Source organism: Homo sapiens, chromosome 7 (genome assembly GCF_000001405.40).
Source record: "Homo sapiens chromosome 7, GRCh38.p14 Primary Assembly".
NCBI lineage: Eukaryota > Metazoa > Chordata > Mammalia > Primates > Hominidae > Homo > Homo sapiens.
This window is the reverse complement of record NC_000007.14, coordinates 135,957,486-135,976,170: the sequence shown is the minus strand read 5'-3', so window position 1 is coordinate 135,976,170 and position 18,685 is coordinate 135,957,486. Positions and strand designations below refer to the sequence as shown.

General features: G+C 34.2%; 1 protein-coding gene and 1 pseudogene across 1 annotated transcript in view; one reads left to right on the top strand and one right to left on the bottom strand.

Annotated features, from left to right (window-relative positions):
- MTPN (myotrophin) overlaps window positions 1-18,685 on the top strand; it is a 50,600-nt gene that overhangs the window by 1,189 nt on the left and 30,726 nt on the right. The gene's annotated exons all lie outside the window — the stretch shown is intronic.
- Window positions 15,362-15,468, bottom strand: RNU6-223P (RNA, U6 small nuclear 223, pseudogene; annotated as a pseudogene).

Below are 18,685 nucleotides of genomic sequence, written 5' to 3'. Positions count from 1 at the left end.
TCCAAGCTAGCCTGTCTTTCCATCCTGAAACTGTGCCTTTGTAATTATGAGAGAACTTAACATGTGATTTTAATTTAGTGATAATCTAAAATGAATCTTCCAAAACAAGTATAATTTTATGACAACCACGGATGGCATCTTGCTCACCTTCTAAAAGTGTGAGAACCCAGTCTAGATTTTAACTCTTCAAAGAATAGGACCTGACCTGGGTTTTTGCTTCAGAGGCTGTGTTAGGAAGCAAGTAAGCGAAGCAGTTTCTTAAAACTTACAGGATTGTGCAAGGCAAACTGCTGAAGGTTTTTACTTTATTTAATGCCATTACAATTTAGACTTTTTGGATGCTGCTTACCTGCTTAGTTTTTTGCAGTGGAGTTTTAGGACAGGCTGTCTTCTCGTCACTGCCTTCTCAGCTGGTAGCCAACTGAAACTTGACTTATTGGCTATTTCAATATAAAGCTAAAAGGTAGAAATTATTTGGTACACTTACCAGTGGTGGGACACTGCAATACTCTGGAAGTAAGTGGGCTTTTGTTTTCCTGTCATGGTGGAACCTAGGTTGTTTGATATACTTGAAATACAAAAAGTTGATTAAGTACTAACTGAACTTACAGCTACCAAAATAACACAATGTATTTAGTGTTTTCCTGACACATTATTTTATGTCATCCTTGTGAATACTGGGAAGTAAGTCCTATTATTGGTCCCATTTTACAGATTACTGAGATGCAGGATACTTAAGAAAAGTTATGGAGATGGTAAATTGTGAAGCAAGAACTAAATTGCTGACTCCAAAACTGAAACTCTTTAACTGCTCCACGCACTATCTCTCAGTCTAAGATCTAATTGTGAAAGCGTATCATACCAAGATTTCTAGTAGGACATTCCCAGGGTCCACATTCAGGCAGGTAAATTGTGCCCAAAGAATTCTCAACTACACAAAAATATTTATATGAAAATATATGCCAATAAAGATGGATTAATTTATTTCCAATTAGTTTTATAATTAGGTTAGGTTATCATGTTCAATTTGATTATTTTCCCTATATTACTACCGTAGCCTGTTCTTCATTAATGTAAAAAATTTGCATAAGAGGGAGGGTAGACATTCAGAAAAAGCAAAAGGGAGTATTGAAAGTTGGACTATCCAAAAAGATATGACTGTAACTGTAATGTAATCTGATGTACAGAGCATTGAGCTTTATCCTTTCTTAGTTTTGAAGATTTCATAAAGTATCTTTCACTTTGTTAATGAGAAATAATAACAAGAACTGAAGTTTATACTGACTCAGCTCCCTTACGGTGCCCATTTATACTTTCAGGTCCTTATTACAGTTTCTTCTGCCCCACAGCTGTCTTCCCTGCTTATTTATTGACTCACATTTTTCATCTACCAATTTGTGAACACTCACTTTTTGAGTTTCTGTAATGTGCATCTATCTGAGTAGGTGTGTACAAAGAAAATACTAAAGAAACACTTAGACCTGTCTAGTCTTCATTCTCAGGGGTGAGAGTCTATTTTAAAAACTCTCCTCAACATTCCTGTGAAGATCTCTCATATTGTTAACCTAAGAATCTACCTGTAAGAGTAAGATAAGCATTTTAGTATTCCCCTCCTCCTCCTCTTTTTTTTGGAAACAGGGTTTTTTTGTTTTTGTTTTTCGGAGACAGGGTCTTTGCTTTGTCGCCCAGGCTAGAGTGCAGTGTCGTGATCATAGCTCACTGTAACTTCAGCCTCCTGAGCAGCTGGGACCATAGATGTACACCACGACACCCAGCAAATTTTATTTTTTGTAGAGACTGGATCTCACTTTGTTGTACAGGCTGGTCTCAAACTCCTAGCCTCAAGCGATCTTCTGGCCTCGGCCTCCCAAAGCACTGGGATTACAGGTGTGAAAGCACTGGTTCACAGGTGTGAACCCGTTTTTCCTTTATAAATTAGTATTTTTAAAAGTCAGTAATTACACTTTTCTACCTGCCTCTGACTTCTCTATTAAAGTTCGAAGTGTGAGTATCCCTAAATCATTGGTTTTAGGTGAGTTCTTGAACTTAGAAAAGTCAGTTCACAGTCCCCAAACCACTGAAAATTGTATTTTGAAATGGAAAAGACAGTATTGAGAGAAAAATTTAGATTATTTAGAGAAAAATTTAGATTATTACATTAAATGTTTCATGTATAACTTTAAGACAATATCTGAAGCAATTTTAAAGTCTTTCAACACTACATTTGGCTTCTTGACTGACTTAAGGACCACATTTAGTTAATTCATTCATTTTTACTAGGCATCTTTCAGGTCTTAAACTCTTTAGTAGTCCTGGGATGATAGTACAGAAGTTCGACACAGTTTTCAGGAAACGTAAGCATCTATATTTAGCAGACCTGCGTGAAAAAAAATTCATACTTTTATAGTAGTATGCAAATTATAAATAACATCTCATTTTCATAAAATTCAGTTGTCCGGCTGGAAAACAAGTGAAAGCCAGAAAATAAGGTATTCATGAGCAGCTATAAGAGATATTCATAGCCCCATTTTTGATCTGGATGTTTCTTTTGGGTGACATTATTTTTGACTTTGTCTTACATTTCTGCCTTTATGTTCTCCTGTTGGAGTTAATTCTAGCCTCACCTGAATTTCAGACTGCATAAGCTCTGTTCAGACAAATTCCAAATTGAGCTGTTTTCCTCTCAAAAACTGTTTTTATTCCTATTGTGTCTCCATTTTCACTAATGGTATCATGACCCAACCATTTGTCCAAACTGGAAACTGGGAAATTTTCCTAGATTTCTGAGGGTTACCAAGACTACCTTCTTAGTCTCCCTCATCCATTCCTCACTCTCCTTTCTTCTTACTACTTTAGATCAGTTGCTGCTTCTTTCCAGCCTGGACTATATTTTCTTTCTTGACTATAAGAAAATAGTCAAGAAAGAATATATAGTCCAGGCTGGAAAGAAGCAGCAAAAATTGACCCCTTCCTGGTCAGTTTACACAGTTTAGGTGGAGGGATCTCTCAATAACATGAATATAAGCATGTAATCTTTTTCAGCCAGTCTCCTGCACTGCCCTTAAAATATTAATACTTTTGTGATTTCTCACTGCTTATTTTAAAAGGGCCAGCTCCTCATTGGTATGGTGTACTAGGCCACTATTATCTGGGCTTGCTTTTCTACACTTGCCTCTCTCTAAGCACTCTGCTCCAGACCCTGCCATCCTGTTTCTTCCTTGTAGATCTTTACATGTGTTCTTTCATCCTCCCTGACCAAGTCTGCTCACCTCAATCCCTAACCCCCAACCTGTTAAACTCCTATTTACCCTCCTAGGGTAAGTATCACCTCTAACAGAAAAACACCATACCGATGAGGAGTTGGCCCTTTTAAAATAAGCAATGAGAAATCACAAAAGTATTAATATTTTAAGGGCAGTGAGGGAGACTGGCTGAAAAAGATTGACTTCACATAGAGTGCTGCTTCTTTTACTGTTTTGCTCATCAGATTGCTGTGATTTTGTTTACATGTGTCTTCATTAGGCTCTGAACTCCTGGAGGGTAGATAATATATTCTTTTTCATCTTTCTGTCTCCAACATAGCGCCAAGGAATTTTACACATTAAAATCATGTTTCTGGTAAGAAATTCATTTTATTCTTAACTTAGCAATAATTTCAGCATACTTCATTAATTACAGAATAATAATTACCATTGACTGGATGACTTACATTGTCAGGTACTGGAAAGCACTCTGCAAGATGTTTTACCTAAGTTTTTATTTGCTTCTTACCACAGTGTTTCAGTATAAGTAATAATCTTATTTTAAGGATGAAGAACCTGAGGCTTAGAGAACTGAAGTAACTTGACAAGGTCACAAACTAAGTAGCATAACTGGATTTTAAACCCAGAACTGTCTGAATCTACATGGGGTGTGTGTGTGTGTGTGTGTGTGTGTGTGCGCGCGCGTGCGCGTGTGCGCGTGTGTATTTATAACCATATCAGTTTGCTTTAAAAGTGGTTTTTTTTTTTGCTAACAACACTTTAGAATTAAGAAAACGAGAAAGAGGCTTGTAAGAAGCCGGTACAACTAATTAGCTCTGACTGTGAATGAAGACAAAAATGGCAACCGTATTTTAAAAATTGTAAATGTAACAATTCAGAAATAATTAGTATAGAGACAAACATCTCTGTAAACTTAAACTCTCATCAGAGACTGTCATTACTCAAGACGTGTCCATAAGAGTGACTGATAGCCTGCAGAATGTTTTGTATTTATGGTCACATATAATCTAACCTTATAATTTATGTTCCTAATTGTGATCCTACACAGTCCAGAAAAAGTTAAATTTTGTTTGTTTGCCTTAGGAAGAAACAAAAATAACTAAATTATTGAGATTTCTATTCATAATTATTTAAATAAAACAAGTAACATTTTGAAAAAAGTATGTTTATTAAATTTTATGTATTTGAGGATTGTGATGCAGTATACAGGTATTATTTCATTTACTTATCAACAGTAAGCCATGAGCATTATTAATAATGTTAACCCCATTTTAGAGATTTTAGAGGCAGAGATTAAATAACTTGCTCAAGATCATAAAGTTCTTAAGTGGTGAAGCTGAGATGTGAACTCACTTCCTTGGGTTCTGAAGGAGTTTCAAAAGCCCCATGCTGTTAACTACTTCAGCATACCCTTGACCTTCATTTCTCAATAAGGCCAGAAACTAGGGGGGTACTATATTATTGAGTAAATAGTAAAAATAATCATAGCAGGATGGTAATTATCCATTGAGACTACTAAAAGGTGAGCTTTCTGGTGGATTTTGAGGATCCAACATGCTTACAGGTGAGTGCTTGTGAGTTGCATTGATAAATAGCCCCTTTTAATCTTCAGCAGGTCTGATACATGTACTCTCTTGTTTACATGTACTTCTATTTCACTTGCTGTGAAATAGAAGCCTGGTCTCTAACTTCCCTTTCTCTGTGGTTTCCTTTCCCTCCAGCCTCCATTCTAATTACATCTGCCGTTGACACTCTAATAGGTTTGAAAAGCAACAATTGTGCACCATGTGAAAGGATAGAATCTCTTGAACCTGAGAAAGATATCAACTCTAATCTTTAGAAATTCCAAGACTCATTGAGATCACTTTTCACTTTCCTAATAAAATAGCCAATTTAAAAGAGGTCCTGATTCAATCTACTTTGCATTTATTGGTTTTAGGCAGCTTCCCTTTTTTTTCTTCTTTAAATTATTAGTTTCTTTCTTATAAAAATGTATCACTGTGTGTTGCCCTTTCTACAGAAGGGCTGGTGACCTATTCAGAAAGCATATGTCAGCTTGTATAAGATACAGGTGCCCTCAGTAGACAGAGAAACATTAGTATAGATTCTTTTCTAATTATTAATGCTTTTAGTCATTTTAAAAAATATATAAAATAGAGGAAGATCTTTTTTTACATTGGAACATAAATGTTCATTCAGATGTACATAGGCTATATAAAGTGTTTTGGTTTGAGATTCTAAACATTTTCCTTTTATTAGTGCAGATAATTAAAAATTTAATGAATTAAAACTGATAGAAATTATAACAATATTATGAGCTTGTTATTTAAAAAAGCAAAGCTGTATTGAATAAAGTAAAATATCCCATTGACTATTTTTCCTACCTATGTGGTTCCTCTCTTTAAAATATAAAATTGATTAGGTGTTTTTAAAACAGAAAAGAATAAAGAAGACAAAAATTGGCCAAAATTTTACTATTTAGATAACTCCTAACTTTTAAAAAGTAAAATTAAATTAATTCAGATGTGGATTTTAAAATGCCACAGTTAGGACTGAAAGGTAAAGATCTCCCCTCCCCAATGCCTGTGAACAAATCAGCCATTCTCAACAGGTCCATGTAATTAATTTCAGAAAAACATTGAAAATTTACTTACTCATCTGTTTTTCCCGCTTAAAAAGTTCTGTAAACACTTCTGCACTTTGCTTTCCACATTGAAATGTATTTATTCTTCCCTTTTTAAATGGTGAATAGTATTCCATTTTCTGGATGTTTATTTAACTATTCCCGTATGATAAACATTTTGTTTCCAGTGCATCTTTGCAATTAAACAGGATTGTCGTGATCACCTTTGTACATATACCTTGACAACTTTTGAGACTATATCTGCATTACTCTCTTCATGAGTTTCGTCAGCTTAGGCACACATTGGCAGACATGAGACCGATGGTTCCCTCACACCATCAACAGCACTGGGCATCATCAGACTTTTTAGATTTTGCCATTTGGATAGGTGAAAAATGATTGTTTATGTCTTTTGTTTATTTTTCTTTTAGTTGGTCTGTTTTTTATTGGTTTGTATAAACTCTATAAATTAGGGAAATCAGTTTTTTATCATGTTTTGCAAATATCGTTCCCAGTTAATCTCTTGACTTCATTTATTTTCTTATTCTACAATGGTCTTTTACTTTTTGTGGGGTTAAATGTATCGCTTTTTTTCTCTTTTGTGACTTGGATTTTGTATCCTGTTTACAAAGACCTTTTCTCTTCTGTAAAATTACAAATAAATTTGCTCTTCTGGAACTTCATTTTTTCTTCCATTTTGGACATTTGACCTTTCCATTATTTATTTTGAAGTAAGGCATGAAATAAGTGTATACTTTTTTTTTGACAGTTCTCATACCATTTATTATTATAGTTCCTCTTTTTTTTTTTGCACGTTAAGTGGTATATATTATAACAGATATTAGGAAAATGCAAATTAAATCCACAATGAGATACTACATTATAACTATTAGAATGGCTAAATTGGTAAGACTGAGAAGCTCTAAGGTGAAATGTTCAATAAATCATATTTAAAACTTCTTATCTGTATTAAGTAAATATTATTTTGTTTAATATTTTTTCTAGTAATTTCTGACATTCTTTTTTTTTTCTTTTTTTTTTTTTTTATTATACTTTAAGTTTTAGGGTACATGTGCACATTGTGCAGGTTAGTTGCATATGTATACATGTGCCATGCTGGTGCGCTGCACCCACTAACTCGTCATCTAGCATTAGGTATATCTCCCAATGCTATCCCTCCCTCCTCCCCCCCCCCCACCCCACAACAGTCCCCAGAGTGTGATAATCCCCATCGCAAGAACAAAAAACCAAACACCACATATTCTCACTCATAGGTGGGAATTGAACAATGTAGTTCCTCTTTACTAATAATTTGAACCATCATCTTTATCATAAACAGATTTCTTGCTCTTTTTCTATCTATACCAAACTGATTTAATGATGTGTGGTTTCAAAATAGGTTTTAGTATCTCCCTCTCACATTCTCTTTAGGATTTTTGCAGGTGATTCCTTAAAATTTTTTTTCCCATAATCTCAAGAAAAATATTAGGATGATTTGAACCTACCTAAAACTTAACCTGTATCTTTTAATAAGCATTAAGCTTTTTTTTTTTTTTTCTGGAATGCTGGGATCGTGTGATCTGTGGGACATAATACTTTAACTTTTAATTCTTTATGAATCATCTTAGGAGGATGTCATGCACTGTGAGAATGTGCCATATCAAAGATTCAAAACAGAGGAAGTGTGTTTAGATAATCAAATCACAGCAAAATTGGTGATGAAAGTTAGTTTATGGTATTACATCACAGGCCACCTTGTAATAAGAAAAATGGCTGAAAGTAATTTTTTTGCAGCTATATCTTTACTAAATAATTCTGATAAGCTTAGAAGCTTGATTTTTTTTTTCAGTCCACAGAAAATTACCAGTGTAAAGAGGAGCTGTGATTACTGAAAGAAAAGAAACCAAAATGTAAGAAGCTGACCCAAGAAAGTGAAGGGCAAAGAGCCATATTTACCTTAAAGTTTCAGAGGCCTCAGGCAATAATTAATATGTATAAGCGTAACCTTGAGCTTCACGAAAAGTTTAAACTTGGTTACTTTTCTCTTATTTACAAAGTCAGAGACATGTATAACATATTTTAGGAAGATTTCAATTTGACATATAAAAAAGAATGAGCATTTTGATACTTAGGCCTAAAGTAAGTATCTGAAAAATACTGAAAAATGGAGGTATTAAAAAAAAATTGTAGGCCAGGCATGATGACTCATGTCTGTAATCCCAGCATTTTGGGAGGCCAAGGCAGGAGGATCTATCACTTGAGCCCAGGAGTTCAAGACCAGCCTGGGCAACATAGCAAGACTTCCATCTCAACCACAAAAAAATTGTAGGTAGTAAACACTTTAAACATAGTACAATAGACGCTCATTATGGCACTGTCCTTTAGGGATTTGGAATTGCATTATTGGTGAAACCATAGCATAGAGGCTAAATGTGTTGGCTTTGGAATTAGATCTTCCAGGTCTGGCCTTCTTACTAACTAGACACTTTGGGTGAATTAAGCACTCAGAACTTGAGTTTCTTCAATTGGTGAAAATGGGAATGATTGTAATACCTACATAATAAGTGTAAACTGTGTACCATTGTGCCTGGCATATGGTGAGTGCTAGTAAATATTAGCTGTTGTTACTAATCAGCATCCTCATAAATTTGTTTAGAAGCAAGATTACTTACAGAGCAACTAGTCCAGCTCCCTTATTTTATAGATAAGGAAAAATTAAGTGTGAAAGCCCTTGACCAGTATCATAGTGCTATTTGAGATTGAAATTTAAATTCAGTTTTCCTGAACTTGGATGAGGGTTGGTTGGTTGGTTTTCCGCTACACCATTGTGTTTGCTAATGAAGTCATCTTGTGCTAGCTGTTACCTCTAATAAATTATTCTTTTTGTCCCACAACATCTGCTTGGCAAATTTCTTCTTCTTCCTGAAGTTTTATATTCATGTCTGTTTTGTTCTGCATAGATTCCCTGACTGCTTGTGCAGTTTATTGTTTCTTGGTGACATCTAATATAGAACTTTTTTATTGTGTTTATGTTCTGTTGTGGTTTCTTAAATTTGAGAGCTTATGGGCTTCTGGCTTGACTAACAAGTTATTAGACTTGAATTTGAAAAACAGCGGCTTAAGAAACTTAAATCTTGTTCTGTGGGGTATGTCTTTAATTTTTGAACTGCTGAAATGAGTTTTGTCTTAATGACTGGTTAAGAAAAAACCAAGGTGCATTTATAAATATGGATCAGTTATTACCATTTAGTCACTTGAATAGTGGCTCACAAACTTGAGAATTCAGAGGCTCTTCACCGCCCTCTCCAGCCCCCTAAAAAAATGTCTTCAGATCTTTAAGCTACAGTGCTTATAGTGGGGCATTTTTCTGTTGACAGGGGTCATAGCACTTGAAGCTTCTTCCTGTGCTTGAGGAGTTCCCTACTTATATAGTATGAATCTTGATCAAAGGCAAGGTCTGGTGCTCACCGCAACAAAAGCCAAAAAGGGCAAATAAATTGCTTTCTCTTGCCCACACAGGAAAAGAGCTCATCCCAAACATGACTAATTGGATGCGTCTATCTAGAGCTGATACAAATGCTCAGGCATAATAAAAGATGTAGTGGCAGCAGTAAAACACCACTTTCCAAAAACAGCAGAAGTCGTTATGTGCCACTTGTAGCATCTCTTCTGTGCCCAGGTGGTTCTTGTGACAGATTTTGATTTCACAGACAGTCCCGGACTTAATTTTTTTTTTTGACGTTGTGATGGCGCAAAAGTGATACACATTCGGTAGAAACTGTACTTCAAATTTTGAATTTTGATCTTTCAAAATCAGAGCTTTCAAAGTCAAAATCATATCCCTGCTTAGGGATATGCATGATGGTACTCTCATGGTGCAGGGAGTCGCAGCTCCCAGTCAGCCACTCAATCATGAGGGTAAATAACTGGTACTCTGCTGTGTATTGTAATGCCAGCTGTTTTTGCCCAATGGTAGGCTAAGGTAAGTGTTCTGAGCACATTCAAGGCGGGCTGGGCTAAGCTGTGATGGCAGGTTAGGTTTATTAAATGCATTTTCAGTGTAACCCAATCATAAGTAGAGGAACACTTGTATTTCTTGCTTTTAAGCATCCTTATTTTCTGTCCATTTACTGAGCTTTGTTCTTCAATCCTCCTAGCAGTTCTGGGAGCTACTTTTAATATCTGTTAATGTATTACATGTCTATTAATCAGTCTGATTTGGTTTCTGTTGCTTGAAATTAAGAACCCTATATTAATTTTTACCTATTTATCTCACCTAATATTCTGTGGGTTTTTTGAAGGTAGCAATTATCTTTGTATCCTCAACAGTTATCACATTGCCTGTTATCTGCCATACAGTTTCGTTACATTTGTATTTAATTGGTATTTGCAGAAACTATCCCTTCCTTTGTTGTTTTCAAAGTTGGTTTACCATATACCACTTTGTATGTTAACAGATATTCTTAGTGTAAATGATGTTCTTTCATTTCCTCTCTTAGAAATAGCTCTAAATTTTCAAGTTCTTTGTTGTTTTAAACCCAATGAACTTTGTCCAACTTCCCACACTGTTTGTAGTGACAACAGTTGTATTAGTATAACAGCAACTTCCACTTGTAACCTCTCATGACTATCATTTTAGAATTTCAGTCAAGAATTGTTAACACTATACAGTCTCACTAAAAGTAAAGATAGTTTTGTGCATGCTTCCTTGTGAAAAATAAGAATCATCAGTACTTTTACCTTGGTATTAAGAAACAAATGTTAAAACCTATACTTAATGCCACATTACTTATAACAATATAAAAGCATATGGACCCTAAAACTTAAGTCCTTAGAAAATATTTTTTATTATTTATTATTTTGAAGTTCTCTATAAGAGATATTACACTTTCATTTTGGATTTCAGTAGACCTTGGTTGGATTCCCAGCCCTGTCTACTTACTAACCTTGACCATGTTATTTAATTTCATCAAACCTCAGTTTTGTATCTGTAAATAGGGATTGTGATCATACTCAATTCATGTTGTGTACAAGTTTTAAAAAATAATGTAAATGTAAAATTTGCAAAGCAGTGCTTAATACACTGAAATTCTGTAGTAAGTATTTGCTGTTTGTATTATTGTCTGTATAGATCTTAGAGGAGATTTAGAGAGGCCAATGCTTAATAGCAAGAGTTGGGAGACATTTTTTGTAAAGGGGCAGCTAGTAAATATTTTAGGCCTTGGCAGTCACACAGTCTCTATCATAACTATTCATCTCTGCTGTTGTGCAAAAGCAGTCATAGATGATACATCAATAAATGAGTCTGAGTTCCAATAAAACTTTATTTACAAAAACAGCATGCTGGCTTTGACCCATGAGCCGTAGTTTGCACATCTCTACATAACATTGAAGTTAGTAAAACTACTTTGTCTAAGTTTCACTTTATTCTCAAGTTTTTGAGATATAAAAAAATTAAAATGTATAATATAAAACTTATTTTGGGGGTCAGCATTTTCAAAAACATTATTCAGAAACCTTTATGATTCAAAGATGTTGGACTGGAAAAGCAAGGCATGGAAAGGTGCTTGTGGATAGAGAGAAGAGAGAGGGAGTTTGAATGAAATTCTCTAAAAGAAAAAACATAGAATTTCTATACTAAATTTGAACCTTAGGCAAGAGGCCTAGATTTCTGAAAATGAGGAATCATTACTTGTAATATACAAATAGGAACTAATTTAGATTCTTAAACTGAAAGTAGATTCTGCGAAATCTTTTCAGCTGCATGAGATCATCCTTCACCAAAAACGTTCCAAAATTTTCTTCCCAGCCCTAATGTGAGTCCTGTCCCTGGCTTGATTTCCAACTCCAGAAGTGAAAGAGAAGGCTGGTTAGCAGTTTTCACTGATTCATTCATAATTAATGCAGCAAATACCATTTGAGCACCTACAGTGTCAGCCACTGAGATGAGTTTTCTTTGGTAGGTTTAGTTAAAAGGGTTAGAAAACATACAGCAGATAAGATGGTTGTATGAGTTCTGAATACATTATTTCCCTTATTTAATACATGAAATATGGATAACACTTAGAAAGCAGCTATACAGTTTGTTAAGATAAAGTTATATTTGGTTCCTTTCTCCTCTCTTCCCTCCCTCCCCTCCAACTGTGGAGCCATGAATTAGAATCTTATAAATGAAGCTACTTTTTGATTGTTAGTCTTTTTTCCAAATTGACAATTTTTTCCAAATTGACATATTATAATGTTTTAAATGGATTTTCTTAATTTTGATAGTCTTTCTTTATATAAACACGTGTTTTGTTATTAAAATTTTAATTTCCCACAAGCTTTTAAAAAATACTTCACCATTTTCAATTAGAAAATTTCTAAGTGTAATTAATTGCTTCTAAACCTTCCAAAGAAGAAAAATGGTGTGTATTTAATAAGTAAATCAGCTGAAAACTAAAACTGAAATTTCTATAATTTGAATGACTGAAGTAGTCATTTTTGAAAGAAAAAAATGCCTAAGTTGAAGATTCCAAGTAAATGTATAGGTGGGATAAGAATACATAACAAATGTATTGTTATTCATTATTTAAAATGAGTTCATATTTGTATCATTGAAAGTTTGATGCATTTGGGAGGATGACGTCAGCAAGAGAAAGTTCATTTGGTGTGACGTTAACATTTCAGAAAATATGTCAAGTAAGAGCAGGTTGATGTTATACTTTCGTCCTTACAGACCTTCTTTCTTTCTATTGTGCCATCTGTCTGTTTTTCTGTATTGTAAAGTTCCAAATAAAGTATTAATGTATTATCACCTTTCTTGTTTGCTTTGCCGCCTCAGTGGTAGAGTTTACATATAAACCCATTGCTGTGTTGTAATTTATAATTGTGGTATTGTTTGACACACTGATATCAGTCACCAGTACAGTAATAGGTGATTCTTTTTTGCAAAGTTATATCCTAAATAAGGACTTTCAACCTGGGGGATTGGGTAGGGAGGAGGACAGAGAGAGAGTATTAGGAAAGGAGGGACTATATTATAACATTCATCTCAAATGGATCTGTCATTTTTTAAATATTAAACACTGCAGTCTTAAGGAATTCTGAATTCCCATTGGGGAAGGATAATACGTAACTGTAACTGAAATTATTGGGGACATCGACTCAACTATATAGAATTTTGTAAATTTAATACTTTTGCTGCTTTCTACTGTCAGGTGTCCAATATTTAGTTTACATGCTGTGGTACAAAGTGGTGACACATATGCTAATTTAGTCTACTGTTTGTTAGGTAGCTTTTGGGACACTGATCTCTTGTGGCAGTACAGTATGTACCTATACCTTGGAACTCAGTGGCAGCAATGCGTACATATCTTACAGATCAAACAAAGAGTATTATTTGTTTCTTTTCACCTGAAGAAAGGTCTAAAAACCATTCTCTGTAGGAGTCGGCCATTTCACTTAGAAATAGCATAAAGAGTACTATTTTATTGTACTGTTTATTATTCAAATAAACCTAATGCTATGTAATAGAGGCCTGTAAGAAGTACTAATCTAGTGAATAATCCCCACCAAGCCACACTGTGGAGGAGCATGTAAAAGATTTTGCTGTTGAAGAGAAAATCTGAAACTTCTAAAAACATACCGCTTATTTGTTAATATGTTTATGTTTCATATTAAAACCAGTTAGGAAAGTAAGGGAGAAAAAATTGAAAACAGCTGGGAAAAATCTAGTGAACAGTGGTAGTCTTTTAAACCATGTAATTTCATATTAATTTAACCACCTCCAGATTGGTTTTTCACAGATTTGGTTGTGTCCATAAGTAATATTCTTGCCATTAATAGAATACTTTAATATTTTAACATTTATTTTCAAAATGGTCTGCAATTCTAGTATTGAGTCCTTCTTTGCTCCATCAGTAATTTAGGAGATTTAGTATTGGTTTGGTTGTGTGTATGTGTTTTGTGTGTTATTTTTGTTCATTCATTCATTTTTTTTTCTTATGTTTACTTTGTGCTAACGCTTTTGGTATTTTGCTAATCCCAATTAATCTAATCTAATTAATTGCATTAGATTAATGCAATCTAATCCCATTGCACTGGGATTAGATAATGGGTTCTCTAAGGTTTTAGACTTCAGAATGTATTGAAGTTTTCTTTGTTCTGTTATAATTATATTTTGTTGATATTCAGTGAAATAGTAACGTACAATTTCCATAGAGTACAAAGTTTGATATACATTAACAATCTCATTAATTATTAATCATGCCTGCTGTGTCCTTACCTGCCAAAGACTAAGATGATTATGATAGTCTCTCTGTACAGTGCTATTTTTGTCAGTTGTTTTCTTGCCGTTCTTCAGATAATTCATAACTAGCTTTTACATTTTTTCATGTAAAATGAACATCTTTCCCATTTACTTTTTTTGCTTTGATTCTACTTTATCACTTTATCATGTACCAAGATTACTCTTCCTAGCTTTTTAGATGTATGTGCCTAGTATATTTTTGACCATTAAACAAATTTTTTTCACATTTTCATATTTTGCTTTTAGGTATCTCTCAGTAGCAGCTTCTGGTTGGAAATTTGTTTACTTTTCTTTTTGTTGTTGTTTAACAAAATTCAAGATTCTTTATCTTTAAATTTGATGTTAAGAGCCTAGCACATTGAACCTGTAATCCCAGCTACTGGGGAGGCTGGGTTGCTTTAGCCCAGGAGTTCAAATCCAGCCTGAACAAGGCAGTGAGACGTTGTCTCAAAAAAGAAAGAAAAAAAAAAAGGTATATATCTCAAACTCTCTCCAAATATCATTGCTATAGATAGTTTCTCTCTGTAGTCCTCTGGAATTCGGTGTTCTAAGGAAGCCACAAATATGAGACCAGTCTAATTTAATTTTTTTGGTGTTAATGTGATTTTGACTTTTTAATTTTGGGAGTCTTTTTGCTTTATCTAAAGAAATTCTAAAACTATTTTTGGGAGGGGGGGAATCAACTGAATTTTTGCCTACAATACAGTGAGTTCTTATAATCTATAGGCTCAGGTCTTTCCTGAGTTCAGAAAACTTTCTGTTCCTGTTCTGGTTATGTATCATTTATAAGTTAGAACTTTATACTCCTAATGCCAATCGTCTTTTTCTTTAAACATTTGTACTAGTTTATTACTTCGGTATTCTGGGAAAATTTCTTAAGTTTGTTCTCAAGTCTTTACTTAATTGAGTTTTCTTAATTTGAATAGTGTTTCCCAACTCTACTGACTTCGGTACAAATTTTAATTTTGCAATTGCAGTTTTAATTTCCTTGCTATATGTCACTTTCTCTGCAGCTTCCCTTTCCTATCAGCCTGCACCTCAGTTTGTTTACTGTGTGTGTTTGCCTGTTCTCTTCTTAAGACACCCTTACTTATTGAGCCCATGTCTTTTGGATTCCATTTTGATTACTCTGTAGATGTTTTCTAAAGTTAAGTTTCTTTTCTTTTTTTTTTAATTAAAAACCAAAAAAATATGGACTGTTTCATGAATTTGCGTGTCACTCTTGCAGAGAGGCCGTACTAATCTTCTGTATATCATTCCAATTTTAGTATATGTGCTGCCGAGGCAAACACTAAAGTTAAGTTTCTTATATTGAATCATTTCAGAGGTATGTATTTCCTTAGAGTTTTTTTTCTTTATTTTCTTTTTCTACTACATTTTAGAGGAAAGAATTTTCAATATATTTCTTTTGCTATATGATTTTTATACCCTACCTCCATATTGGTTTTCTTTGTTACCTATCCTTTAAAGGGGAAATACTATTCAGATTTAGGGTGTGCTAGCAGTTAGGATGTGAGGATTGCCTCTGACCACACTTAAAACCTGCTTATGTACTAGAAGAATCCTAGTGCTGGTGGTTTTGTTCACCCGATCTTTTATATTCTCTATTGCCTAAGGCATAACTTCATTACATTGTTTAAAAAAACATGAAATCATGAAGACTGGAAAAGAGAAAAATGTTTAAAGAAAAAAATGTTAGGCTTAGCCCAAGCTTAATTATCTCTTCATGGTAGCTTGATTAGACCCCTTACATCTCCTTTTCTGTATTCCCAAAACAAACTCATAGCCTGTACTGCAGCTTTAATCACATGATATAATTTAATCACATTATATGAATGGTTTACTTGTTGTCTTGCCTTTTATGGCTACAGATTCCTTGTGGGGAATGACTCCTTTTTCATCACTATCTCAGATGCTTGCCACAGTTCCCAAAACTTTATAAGCTATCAGTAAATGTTTCATGAATGATTGAGTAACCAAATTGATGTCTTTGGGAAAATATTAGAATAAACCATTTAATAAGCATAAAATACTAGAAGGAAAAAACAACTTGGCATTGTAAAGAGGAAAGTATACTATGTAAGTTTGATTTCATTCTGTTGTTGCAGTAAAGCAGGAGGCAATACACTTAGTTTATCTTGATCTTAAAAAAACAGATGTTCCATTAAAAAAAAAAACAAGCAGATGTTCCTCCTGAATAATACTGACAAACTAGAAAAATCTTCCCTTGCTTGTAGTACTGTTAAAAAAGCAAATAACTCAGTGGGGATAGCCAGGTGGCATATATTAAACTCTAGGGATATTTCCTATACAGCCAATAACATTGCTTTCAGAAATTAGATGTAAGACATGTTCTATTTAATATTTAATTTCTCTTCTCTGGATTAAAAATAGTTGATGGCACACTCACCAAATTTTCATGAGAATAATATCATCAGGTCGAATCAGTGAATTTCACCGTTTATGTTCTTCAGAGTCAGCTTAATCTAATTCTATACTTTACACTCTAATGTCTTGACCCACCCATGTATAGGTTTCAGTAGCAAAGCCAGGCATAGGGAATGATTGTTAGTGTTTACACAAAGTACATAATCAACCCATGAGTACTTTTCCGCCAATCTCCAAGGCAAAGGGTGTCTGTGACCAATTTTAGGGACATTAAAATACAGAAAAATGTGTGCTTAGGAATCAATGAAATAATGTAACTGTTATGTTCTATAAAATAAGAATTTTAGTGTTACAGGGTATTTGATATTTATTGCATGTCTAGAATTAGAATAAGTAAACTATGGTACATCCACTTGATAGGATATATGTATCTTTCAAGAATGATGTCTCGTGAAAGAATACATAGTGTGTTCACAACTTTTTAAAGCAATTATTTTCATAGAAAAAGATTAAACAGAATTATAGCAGAGTGGTAACAATGGTTGTATTTTGGATGGTAGGCCTTGCTAAAATATTTTTTAATTTCCAGATTTTATTTTATAAATATGTATGTGGTGGCAATGGAGTGGTTTATAACACTTATCAGGGGATCGGTTAGAAATCATGCTGTACTAATTTCCTTTCTTTGAAGTTTCTAGACTGTTATAAAGATAATCTGAAATACTTTAGTGAAATTTGAATGTTTCAGAGATATCCTTGAGGGAATGATGGGGAAGGATGATTGGATGAAAGTGTCATGAACTAGATCAGGGATCAGCAGATGGTAGGTCTCTCTGACCCATTAGTGACTCAAATTCAGGATAACAGCAAATCAATGAAAATAATTAGTTGTAGTTACAGTGTGTTGTGACTGTTAAACACAAGTAATAACCTAATGTAAAAATAAGAATTGCTTGTGCCATGTGTCTGCAAGAGATAGAACCATAACTAGTAAACAGTGAATTTTCCAGTACTGAGAGCAGGAATGGACTGATCAGCAAGGTTCTGAATTGCCTTTCATTAGAGATACTCAGTTATAGGTTGGGCAGACACAAGCAAGGATTAAAACATAGAATGGGTGGCTGAATTAGATGACATTCAGAGCCCCTTCCAACACTGAGATTGTATAACTTTCAAAGACCCTAATAAGGTTTTAAAAATACCACTTTGTGAAGTAGTAGCTGTTTGGTAGGCAACAGGTTGCACTGTGACAAAGCTGTTATAAGTGACTGTAGAAACTATTAAAATAAGACTGCTATGCACAAGTCACCCACAGACATTGTAGGCAGTATATAAACAAGTAAGACATTGTTCTTTCATTGTCCTTTCTTTAATGAAGTTTTTATTAAAGTATATAAATAACATACCTGATCGAATAGAGGTAAATGTAATGAAAGACATATAAACAAGAACTATGAGGATTAAAGGAAGGGAATTATATATCAAGAATATCAGGAAAATACCAATAGTATTTAATTTTTTTAGGTTGAAAAACCTGTCCAGTGCCCAGTCCTAAAATGCCACGTGTTTTAGTCCGTTTAGGGTTGTTACAAAGGAGTATCTGAGGCTGAGTACTTTATAAAGAACAAGGTTTATTTGGTTCATGATTCTGATTCTGTTGTCTAGGAAAGTTTAAGATTGGGCACCTGCATCTGTGAAGGGTCACAGGGTGCCTCCACTCATGGCAGAAAATGAAGGGGAGCCAGGTGTAGAGAGATCACATGGTGAGAGAGGAAGCAAGGGAGGGAGGAGGTGCCAGGCTCTTATTAACACCAGCTCTCACAAGAACTAATGGGATAAGAACTCACTTATCTCACACCCAGTGAGAACATTAATCTATTCTTCAGAGATCCCGCTCCCATGACCCAAACACCTCTCTTTAGGCCCGCACCTCTAATATTGGGATCAAATTTCAACATGAGATTTTCCTGGACACACATCAAAATTATAGCACTATGCTTTGACATTGGAATAAATGATATAATAATTAGGTTCTCCTCTGACATGGAACTCACCAACTTATTGATGTAAACTGGTCATGCACTGTCACTTTTTTTTTTCTTTCCAATTTTTTAACACTAA